The sequence below is a fragment of the Homo sapiens genome, chromosome 12, assembly GCF_000001405.40.
Source record: "Homo sapiens chromosome 12, GRCh38.p14 Primary Assembly".
NCBI classification, from domain to species: Eukaryota; Metazoa; Chordata; class Mammalia; order Primates; family Hominidae; genus Homo; species Homo sapiens.
Window position 1 is genome coordinate 26598286 of NC_000012.12, and position 12260 is coordinate 26610545.

Consider the following 12260-nt stretch of genomic DNA (forward strand, 5'->3'; position numbering starts at 1 on the left):
TTAAGATTTCTAAGTGGCAGGAGGGACTCCTTGAATCATTATGGAAATCTCCTCCATTCCCAAATTTAAGGTATGTCATAATGAAAATGCCCAGAAACCAATAAAAATCTACCATGTAACTGTTTGGTAGCCATGGGTGGAAGCTCCCTTAACCCAAATGGGCCACTAGAGAACCATTTGGTCACAGAGCGGTGATTTAATCAACGGGCTCTTTAAGCTGCTACTTCTCCAATGTATCATACTTGCTTCCTAGTAACTTACTCATTACATAAATATCACTCAATGTCAAACATAAACATGAAAAAGGCAAATAAAGAAATGAAGTACCTTCATCTATTCATTTGCTGAAATTTGTAACTTACTCTAAGTAGTAAGTTTCCACATGTTGTAAAAAAAATCACTGTTAGGTAGTTTGTATTACTTAGTTTGATTCTCTTCAAAGCTTTCTGCAAATAGCAGCAGAGAACACCCATTCTATGTTTCAGAAACAGAGCAATAAAGGCACTGGAAAAGCACAGTTTAATCTGTCTTTCTTATATCATTGGAAACTTAAAAATATAAAATTTTGTCACTTTCATTCCAAACAATCGACAACATTTCATAGGATTTTACCCATTTTTTAAAATACACAAATTCATTATAGGTCAAAAAGAAAAACAAACTTAGAAAAATCATAAAACCAACTTAAGATATGTTGCTTCACTAAATTAAAGCAAAATATATTTGCACTTGAGTAGTCATGATTAAATTAAATAATTTTCCAAACCTATGTTGTTGGGGGCTTTTTCACTGTAATAGAAAATGCATATTTGAACATACTGTTTAGGTGAAGCTGATAAAAGGCAAACTGAGAACATACCTCTGTCATTACCATATCCTGGCATTTCTTCACATATTTACCATCTGCTTTTACAATTGTTTGCAAAAACCTCAGGTACTCCACGTGGCGGCCATGTGTCTCAATGCAGTGCACAAAGTGTTGTACAACTCTCTCGCTAATTTCGTTGCACAGATGGTAATTGTTCATGAAGATGTGCCGCATGGTTTCTGCTTCAAGGAGCTAAACACAGAGGAACATGCCCTTGTAATTCTGACAAGATCAATTTTCTATTCTACAGTACTTAGACTAATTGCCCTGCTTGTGATCAGTTTTATATTTTATACGAAGCCACAGTGAATTTTCTGTGCATGTCTTTCAAAAAATGCGATGAGATCATTAACCATTAAAAGAAAACTGAGCTCACAGAGGAATTTAGTTGGAGAAATGAGCTTATTATCATAAAGTGCAACATATTGGCAACAGTATTCTTGAGACTAATTATGAATTCAAAATTAGGTCTTCCATAAAATCTGCTCAAACACATTTTACAGACAAGGGCAAACTCCACCTCTGAGTTTTCCATATTTACCTTACTCATGGTATTGTGAGTTAGTTCTTTGTTCTACCATATCTTTTCCCTAACATTTAACTATATACGTATAAAATACATTGTCATTTGCATGTAAAACTTGTGCAATTTTTCAAGTTTCTTTAAAAGTTTCCTTAATGAAAAAAAAAAGATATTCACTTCTGGAGAGAGAATTTCCACAAGGAAAAAAAAATGAAGCAAGGAAGTGTAACAAAATTCTCTTCATGAATGTTACTGAGACAAATTTGATGCACACTTTACTAGAAATACTAGAAGCCACTAAAATACTTACACCTGGAGTTAAAAACAAATTCAGATGTTTATGAAGAAGAACTTGATTCTGTGGATTTCCTCGACAGAAATTCTGCAGAAATGTATGGGCTAGATTCATTACTTCATTCATCTTTTCATCATTCTGTAAGTTAAAGAATAGCACATGATAGAAACAAACATAGGAGACAGCAAATGTTATGCAAAAATCTCTCCTTCACCCACATACCATTTTTCTCTCTGCCCATCTTTGATCTCCTTTCTCTGTGTCCTTTATGTTTCACACCTCTCCCAGTTTCCCCTCCTGTCCCTCTTCTCTGTTTTCTAGATCTTTCTCACCTTCTCTTGGTTATTCCTCCTGATTCTATTCTGCTCTACTTTTCCAATGCCCCCTTCATTTCACAGCCCTTCTCTTTCTCCCCAATCTTTCCAACTGTCCACCACGTTTCCTCATCTCTGTACATAGCCACCTTTTCCTCCTCTGCTTTATCTCCACACCTCCTCTGTCCTCCTTTCCTCTCTGTCCCTATCTTTCTCTGTTTCTCCTCCCTTCTCTGCTGTACTCCCCAGTCCCCATAATTCTTCCCTTCCTTTAAATGTCTCATTTTGCAGTATGCCTATATCTCCATCATGCTGCTTCTATTCTTGTCTCTCTTTCCCTACTCTATTTCACTCTCTTTCTCATACATCTTCCTTTCCTACTCTTTCTCCCACATCTATTCCATCTCCTCTCTTCTTTTCCTCTTTTCCTATCTATTATTTCTTCTGCTCCCATCCCCTTTTCTCCTGCTCTGCTCTCACTCTATTTCCTCTCTATTCAAACTTCCTCTCTTCCTCCACTCTGTCAATCTTCTCTGTATATATATTTATTACTCACTCATCTCAGTTCTTCCTCTCTCCAATCTCTCTGTCCCTTCCTTTTGCTATTTACCTTGTCTCTTATTTCCACCTATTTCTTTTTCTTTTCCTCTTTGCTTTCTCTTCTATTTTCTCCTCCTTTTTGTCCCCCTCTTTCTTAACACTCTTAATAGTGAATATCCTTATTCATTGCCATTTTCCAAAGTCCTATACTAAGCTACTATCATTTGATTATAAGAATCTTAACAAGAAACTTAAGTCTCAAAATTCACAGAGAAGCAAATTTGTCTTCTTAAAAGTGGTCTTGTGACAACATCAGTGAAACTACCTAAAATTTCCCCATGTAGTTGATTGTACCATTTGTCATGTGGGCATTGTTACGAATTCAGATGGACTCATGTTTTCAGTGGTATTTTATATTAATATTAAATAAATTTCTACATGCACCCATACATATGCATATTCCCTAGCTTTGCCTATTTAGAGGGCCTATGGGGGCAACACCCCAAAGCAATAAGAACTGAGAACTCAGTTCTCAGAACTTTGCTCCTAAATACCATTTCCCACCAAATGGAAATGGGGCCTCTTGAAGAAATGGCTGATTCTAGAGTCGAAGCAAGGAGAATACAAGATGAACCTGGAACATTTTATTGTGCCAGAAAGCAAGGAAGTAATCAAAGAATGGTGGGGGTGATGTTAGAAGACAGATAGTCTAGCTCAAAGGAACTCCACTGGTCAAATCTGAGACAATCTGGAAATCAAAATAAATAATGATAGAACCCTTTATAACCTATTGAATAAAATGAATATATACAAACCCATACTGATAAAAATAAACACAATAAATGAATAAGTTGAAAGTTTGATGAAGAATGGGATATTTACTTAGTTTCACAGAACTGCTCCACAAAATACCTATTAATTACAAGGGAATTACAAAGGGAAAAATCAGAGAAACCTGGCAGACACAACCTCAATCAATTGATCAAAGTGAACATCATCAGTCATGGGACAAATCAAAATCGTGCACCAACAAATAGGAAGCAATGAGACGAACACAGCATCACTCCGGTTATGTCCCTGCCAAAGATGCCTAACTGTATTAATCACGAGGAAACATCAGATGATCCACATTAAAGGACATCCTTCAAAATAACTGGTTATTTTCAAGAGTGTCAATGTCATGGGAGTTCCCACATGAAGAGATTTAAATAAACATGACAACCGAATAGCGCATGATTCTGAAGTGGATCTTTTTTTCAAGTCGAAAACAATTGGGACAAAGGGAGAAATCTGAGTAGCGTGTAGGGACTAGGTGGCAGTAAAGTGCCTTGCTCTTTCCTGATATGGAAGACTCTAGTGTGGTGACATGGTAGTGTACCCTTGTTTGTAGAAAACATACACAAAAGGGCTCAGGGGTGATGGGGCACCTGGTGGGTGATTTATTCTAAAATAATTAAGAAAGAAAAAATTTCTTGGAACTTTGCAAAACATTTGAAATTGTATCAAAATAAAAAGCTAAAGAACAAAAAATAACCAGGACTAACCTTTTCATAGGGTATCTGCAGAAGATCCAACACCACCGAATGCGCCCCCATATTTTTCAGTAATCGTTGATGTTGATTCCGACACTTTTTATTCTGCACACAGAGTTTACTTAGCCTGATCAAAATCTTTAAAAGGAAGAGGGAAAGCATCAAATATAATAAATAACAATATTAAGTATAATATATAAGCAAAACTTATTTGGCATGCAAATATAAACCTATATAAGAATATTTTGTATCTGCCGACCTCCTTTACAATCCGGTAGTTATTGCTCTTGTTGCTGTCAATCTGAGGTTTCTTTGTTCCATCCTGCACTGGACTTAAAATGTTTGATTCCTAAAAGGAACACAAATATGTACTTTTATGCCATTTGTAGCTTTGTGTTACATTTATTTCTTTTGTATTAAATAATAAATATATTTTGTAATTATTTTGTAATAAATCTATTATTCAACTTAAATGTTTCTTTTGTACTTTTTTATTGCATAAAAAGTTCCTTGGCTTGACTGAGCCATGCAAATTACCGCTACCCAGTGAGAACCCAATGACAAGTTAACTGGAATGACCTATAATTATATGAGTTAAATTGTAAAGTTTTCATACATATTATTAGTGCATATCCATATGAGACATATATATCTCAGACATGCTGTGGCTTTATATTGCCTATATGAGAAGAAATAGTGAAAATACAGGGCATAAAAGATAATTTAATCACTAGGAATGAACTGCAAGAAAAAAAGAGTGATGGAGCAGATCATCATAGCTGAGCACATCTCAGAGAAGGGAGCAAAGAACAACTTAACACAACAATTCTCTGACAGGTTACCATGGCATCCTTAAGAGTCACGACTCCGGGCCAACATACAGAACCATGAAAATGAAGAGAGAAAAATAAAAAGCAAATTAAAATAAAATGTTTAAATTACCAAATTAATAAAGCTTATTAAGAAAACCTGAAACACCAAAGATACTTAATTATAATAACTATTATCTGTAGTATCACAAATATGGGGAGTGGACATATTTGAAACATCAACTACTGGCGTCACCTTATGAAAATCAAACACCAGTGACAAAAAATTCCACTCTGAACATTTATGAAGACGTCATGCACACCTGGCACTAGACTATGGTGAATGGATCTAAAAGGGATACAAAGAAGATATGGTCCTTCTCACAAGAAAATTACAGTCTGCCTAAGAAAACAGGGAGAAATATATCAATAAAGATTTGAACTGGGCAGAATTCACTATTCAGAAAGAGAGAGAAAGAGAACAGCTGCAGCTTTAGACAAGTTTACGAAGGAGGTCAAGTTTAAGGCAAGGTCTAGAACGATGAAAACTGTCTACTTAGGCATAAAGGATGTTTAAATGAGCAGGGAAAAGCCTTGCCAGGTGAAGAAGAAGTCACCTTAGCCAAAGGTACTGCAGCAAGAACAAGCACACTAGTTATATGGAAAACGGCAAGAACTGACAGGGTCCATCGCAAAGATTGGGCAATCAGAGTGGGGTCTGATGGCCTCCCTTATTTACGATCTATTCAAAATTGCACTTGGGAGGCATGTCAAGTTCAATGTGGGTCCAGAACACCCTAAACTCCTGACTATAATGATGGTGTTAGGCGCTTGCAGTTAAAGGGGACCCTAGTTTAAGCTCAGGAAAAAGTTACAAAGATACATGAGGCCAATTGATATGATTTATTTGTCCCAAGTTGTTTCTCCTACTGTGCTCCAGGACAAATCACAAAATTAATAAACATCAAGAAAGAAAAAAATACTTTCCTTGCTAATCAAACAGTGCTGATGAAAGGCTTCAAGCAGCAGAGCAACTTAATCCACGTTGAGCCAAAACACTCCTCACTCAGCTTTATATTTTTCTTTTGCTTCTTTTCTGGCAAATATTGTCCTGAGGCTCCCAGTCTCAACTTCACTTTAACAAGTGACCCCCTCCTCCCATTTTACTGTATAGACAGAAATGCCTCTACAAAGACACTTTCTCTTTTCCATTCAAAAATTTCCAGTGATATCCACAAACCTGTCTATCTTCCCCACTGTGTCTCCAAGAACAAAATTTTTGATGCATGAATTCAAAAATTCCATCTCTTCTTCCTCTTCTCCCTGCTTCATCCCTGTTTCTTGTAAAACAGCAGTTTCTACCCTTTAATGACTCTTTCTCATCTGTTAGCTTCTACCTTGCTGACCACTTGTCACTCATACTCACTAGAATTGGAAATGCAAAAAGTAAAAGATCAAAACACTGAAAGCCTTCAAAACATTACTAAGTTAGACTCCAGAGCTATATCGCCTAGCTATCATAATGAATATTTGGACAGAAATGAAAGCAGTCCAACCACCACTCCAGGTAAATAAAAGAGAGAAAAGAATGCAGGATATTACCTGCAAGACATTAATCATGAAGTGAATCTTAAAAATTATAGGAGAGGCCGGACGCAGTGGCTCACACCTGTAATCCCGGCACTTTGGGAGGCCAAGGCAGGTGGATCACAAGGTCAGGAGTTCGAGACCAGTCTGGCCAGTCTGGCCCATCTCTACTAAAAATACAAAAATTAGCTGGATGTGGTGGTGGATGCCTGTAATCCCAGCTACTCAGGAGGCTGAGGCAGGAGAATCGCTTGAACCTGAGAGGCGGAGGTGGCAGTGAGCCAAGATTGCACCACAGCACTGCAGCCTGGGCGACAGAGCATGACTCAGTCTCAAAAAAAAAAAAAATAAAAATAAAAAATAAAAAATAAAAATATATATATATATATGAGAAAGTGTTAAACTATACATGAAAGTAAAGCCAATGTAGAAGAGAAAACACAACCCAGTGGCTAAGATGAATGAAAACTATTTAGATGGAAAGAGGCTAGAGGTCAGAGTATAAAACAGATTTTCCATTTGATAGCAAAAATAGTTAATTGATGAGAAGTAGAAACTGCAAAAGCTAAAAATATAATTAGATTTCCTTTTTCTGATCACAAAGGTGAAGGCTGGATTTTTAAAAGGCCATTTCATTTTTTTTCTGTAAGAGAAGAAATACTAAAACATATACACACAAACACACACACTTGTACCACAAACCAGGATTAAGACATTACCAGCTCTAAAGATTGACAAAGCTTCTTAGTTAGAAAAGAGATATTTTTTATGTATGTCAACTTTAAAGAAAGCTGTTAAAAAGGCAGGTGAAGCTTTGGTCGATATCTTTAAGCCTGTTTTTCAAGCAATAATCTGAAGAAAAAGCAACTGTCTTGTTTTAAGAAAAGTAATCTTAGGTAAAATGTACTACATTACAAAAAGTCATACTCTTTAGTTCAGCCCAGGTGAAGCACATAGACAATGCTAAACTCTGTATGTGTGGGAATTGGTGAAAAATAATGATTTTAATTTAAAATTGCTAGCAGTCAACAAAAGGCAGCGACATTGGAAAATTCAACAAACAACCCCTTTTAATTTCAGAAAATAATTCAATTTAATTAAATTGAACAAAAACCCATGGAACATCTGGATGATTCCAAAGCAGTCATCAGGGTAATTTGAGAAATATGTAAACTATATAACTACAATTAGGTTTTGTTTTCTAATTCTGATGCCAAAATGGTCTAAATAAAGGTGCTCCAAAAGTTTTCCTTCTGAAAGAGCTGAAATTGGCTGTATTCTTCATGTCTTATACAATGCTTTACATTCTATAAACTTTAGCCCTACATCACTGGCCTAATCTACAAAACCCTGAATCTATTCTAATGACAAAATATTAGAAAAGTGCAAAATGTAGAAGTATGACTTATGCAGCATCCCAGAGCTGAATGGGCCTAGAAAAAAAAAAAAGTGTGACACTTAGAACAGTAAAAGGCTCGTAGCACATCTCCAAATGATCCTTTTGACAATAGTGATGAAAAATAAATACGATGCTCCAAACGTCCTTGCATTTTATTGTAACTGCTTCTTATCATCTAGAGAACCTAAATTTATTCCCCCTAATAGAATATGGGAAACAGCTTAGTGCAGTGATCTTAGCGGTAGCTGTATTTTTAATTGCATAGTATATACCATAACATAAAACAGTAGGTTCAAAAACAAGAGACCAAGAATAGTCTAGAAATTGGGTGGCATCAGGGTTCTAGGCAGAGAAACAAAGAGTGAATATTGGTTCTAAAGATAGTTCCTCCCTTTTTTTTTTTTTTGCATCAGGCAAGGAAACTTTTACATCAATAGCAAAAATTATATAAGAAAGTAATATTATATGAACTATAGGGTAAACTAAATTTTAGCACTGGCTAGGTATGATAACTCATGCCTATAACCCCTATACTTTGGGAGGCCAAGGTGGGAGGACTGCTTGAGGCCAAGAGTTTGAGGTTAGCGTAGGCCACATAGAAAGACTCTGTCTCTATAAAAAATAAAAAAAAAATTATTAGTTGGGCATGGTGGGCTCACCTATAGCCCTGGCTACTCAGGAAGCTGAGGCAGGAGGATCATTTGAGCCAAGAGTTTGAGGCTGTAGTGAGCTATGATTGTGCTAATCACTCCAGCCTGGGCAACAGAGTGAGACCCATCTCAATAAATAAATAAATACTGGCACTGATTAATGGGAATCCAGCTCCTTAATTTAACCAAGGGCAATCATGCTTTTAAAAATAGAATTTTCCAAATCCTACAATGTAGAGCTGCCTACATCTGCAGCTGCATGATTAAAATAACTTGGTGCATGCCTTCTATTTATCCCTATCCCACTGAAGTTTAAGGAGGTCCATCCTCAGCAAAGTTGCCAAGTTAGCAAGACTGCAAGGCCTTCTGCTCACCATCTGTACTGGTAGCCTTCTCTGGTGCAACCATTCTTTAAACCAGTCAGTGACACCATAAACCAGCCACCCACCCCCTAACTTCAGGTGCCAAATGCTTTCCTTCTTCTATCCTCACCTCCCTTCAAAACATGCAAAAAAAAATTTTAATAACCGGTCTTTTATATTTGATTCGCCAATCAGATTATAGATTATAATGTAGTTGAAGCTGTTCAGAATAAATATTGCCTCTTTCAGATAACTGAATAACCCTCTGTGGGATAAGGAGGTATTTTTTTCTCCCTCCCATCTAATGATAACATCATGTACTAGTCATTTAGGAAGATATCACCCTAGATCAACTTCTATGACCTTGCCTGGAAAGCTACTTTGCACGATCTTGGTATCATGGTTGTCGGTTTCTGCTTCCCTGGGAAGCACCTAAGGCTGCTTGAAGGCTTGATTCAAAATCCACAATGGGCAGAAGAGGCTCTGACCAGCATTACTTGCAGATAAGTTCCTTCCAGATGTTTCCTCAAGTCAGGAGCAAAGCTCTACCCTTCTAGAGAATACATACATATCCATAACCGTACCCCAAACCTTTTTTCCTTTTGCTCCGTCCCAAGACAAATAAAATAATGGCGGCCGGGCGCAGTGGCTCACACCCGTAATCCCAGCACTTTGGGAGGCCGAGGCAGGCGGATCACAAGGTCAGGAGATCGAGACCATCCTGGCTAACACAGTGAAACCCTGTCTCTACTAAAAAAATACAAAAAAAATTAGCCGGGCGTTTCTACTAAAAAAATACAAAAAAAATTAGCCAGGAGTGGTGGCGGGCACCTGTAGTCCCGGCTACTCGGGAGGCTGAGGCAGGAGAATGGCGTGAATCCGGGAGGTGGAGCTTGCAGTGAGCCGAGATCGTGCCACTGCACTCCAGCCTGGGCGACAGAGTGAGACTCTGTTTCAAAAAAATAAATAAATAAATAAAATAATGGCATTTTTTGACTCATTTGATGTCGTTTTAGTTAGTATTTGATAATGTTTAACCTGATGTTCTAGTACAAAACCCAAATCTCCTTTACAATCTGCATCTCTGATAATACATAAGTTAATAAAAAAAGTTCGTGCCACTGGGGTGCAGCATCTTTGCTTAGACAGGTATTAGGAAAAACTGGAAATGTTTAATGTAACTAGTAACTGCTTTCATAAGAACACATCAGGAACCTAGTGAGGAGCGCCTCTCCCCGGGCCCCCCACCGTCTGGGAAGTGAGGAGCACCTCTGCCCGGCAGCCCCACTGTCTGTGAAGTGAGGTGCGCCTCTGCCTGGCCGCCCCACAGTCTGTGAAGTGAGGAACCCCTCTGCTTGGCCGCCCCACTCGCTGGGAAGAGAGGAGCGCCTCTGCCTGGCTGCCCCACAGTCTATTAATTGAGGAGCTCCTCTGCTTGGCCGCCCCACTGTCTGGGAAGAGAGGAGGGCCTCTGCCTGGCCCGCCCCACAGTCTGTGAAGTGAGGGGCCCCTCTGCCCGGCTGCTGTGCAACCCCTCCAAGTGTGTGAAGTGGCAGCCTTGTGTGTGATCTTTCTGCGCTCCCCAAGTTTGCATTTTTGACACTAAAGTTTACTTTTAAATTAAAAAAAAAAAAAAAAAACACATCAGGAACCTATTATCATACAGCAATATGTCCCAGAAATTTTCTGATGTAACTCCAGGGATGGCTAAAAACTCAACAGTATTATGTAAAATGTAGAAAGCATGGGGAACCTTTTGGTCAACAGAATGGCATTTGGTCAACAGAAAAGCACTGTACAGGAAGTGAAAACAGCAACATAATAGAACCCTTAGAGACTGACTTTGATACTGATACATTGTATGAAGGAAGCTCCCCTAGTCACAATAGGGTTATAGCTCACCCAGACGGACATGGTTGTAAGAAGGGGGGTGTATGTATAAAATGTGTGAGAGGGACGAATCAGCACTGCCTTTTACACTCACTTGTTCCCCAAGAAATCATTACAGAAATGTTGTTGCCTGATCTAAAACAAATGTATTCTCTGATTTGAATGAATCAATCACTATTATTTCCTCGTTAGCCACTTGCTGAATAAAAGAAACCATATGGGTACATAGAATCTTCACTAACAACTTGTATTGAATTAAGAACAAGTGGAGGACAGGCGCAGGGGCTCACACCTGTAATCCCAGCACTTTGGGAGGCTAAAGTAGGTGGGTTGCTTGAGCTCAAGAGTTCAAGACCAGCCTGGGCCATATGGTGAAACCCCATGCCTACAAAAAATACAAAAATCAGCCAGGCGTGGTGGTGCACACATATGGTCCCAGCTACTCAGGAAGCTAAGGGAGGATCGCTGGAGCCTAGGAAGTGGAGTCTGCAGTGAGCTGTGATTGCACCACTGCACTCCAGCCTGAATGACAGAGCAAGACCCTGTCTACAACAAAAAGAACAAATGGAAAAGTTAAAAAAAAAAGATAGTAACTTATTTATAGCATGAAGGGAAATACTAAGTTTATACTCAAACAGTATCAATTTAAATGTGGTTAGAAAATGAGAAGGGAACAAATTCTCATAGAAAAAGATAAAATAACCAAGTAATTCAAATAACACATTCTGGAAGTATAATTGTTACATTTAAGAATTTATATTATAACCAAATAGGATAAGAATGTGTAAAACAAGCATTTTATTATAAACCAAAAGTTATTTTTCACATGTATGTCATGTGAAGGGGCTTATTTATTGAAACTCATCTGTCACAATCACCTTCAGTGGAATGAGCTCAGACATAAGTATGGGAATATGTATAATGATATAAACAAATAAATATACAATGAGGTCTGAGGCAAAAATAGAAACTGGAGACAAGAAAACAGATTCCATAAAAGGAAAATTCAGAAAAGCACTGTCCAAAACTAATGAATAAAAGCTCTGCATGAAATTACCACTGTGTCTCTGATTGGTCAGGTCAAGCTGCAAGATTCTGTCTAGAACACATGGACTGCTTCTGTCCCAGGCCATCAGGGTTAGACATTCTACCAGATTCTGTCAAAAGTCAGCTAATCGATCACAAGTTTGGCTGAAGAAACAAGTTTATGTAGAACTATTTTCCCACTGCACAGAATCTCATACCAACACTTGGAAAAGGAGAACCTTCTTAATATATATCCTTCTACAGGGATTTGCAACTTTGCTTGCTTCATCAAAGGAAAAAAGATCAGAAGCGGCAGGCAAAGAATGGAATACAGTTTTTGCTTTCAAAAAGTAATGAGATGTGGAGGTAATAGAAAAACTATCAGATAGGGAAGGTGTACCTAGGGAGAACTAGAGAAAAATCAGCAAAGAAAAGGAAAGAGAAGGAAGGGAGGGAAGGAAGGAA

General features: G+C 38.0%; 1 protein-coding gene across 8 annotated transcripts in view; it reads right to left on the reverse strand.

Moving 5' to 3' along the window:
* The window catches only part of ITPR2 (inositol 1,4,5-trisphosphate receptor type 2), a 497843-nt gene that overhangs the window by 262934 nt on the left and 222649 nt on the right, over positions 1 to 12260 (reverse strand). For all 8 annotated transcript variants that reach the window (XR_001748686.3, XR_001748687.2, NM_001414174.1 and 5 more), the window contains 4 exons: positions 4332 to 4421; positions 4085 to 4210; positions 1702 to 1824; positions 860 to 1060 (listed from right to left, as the gene is read on the reverse strand). Coding sequence is in view for 6 of the 8 variants with exons in the window: in NM_001414174.1 (NP_001401103.1) it covers positions 860 to 1060; positions 1702 to 1824; positions 4085 to 4210; positions 4332 to 4421 (540 nt within the window). In the remaining 2 variants the exon portion in view is untranslated. The remainder of the gene's footprint in view (positions 1 to 859; positions 1061 to 1701; positions 1825 to 4084; positions 4211 to 4331; positions 4422 to 12260) is intronic.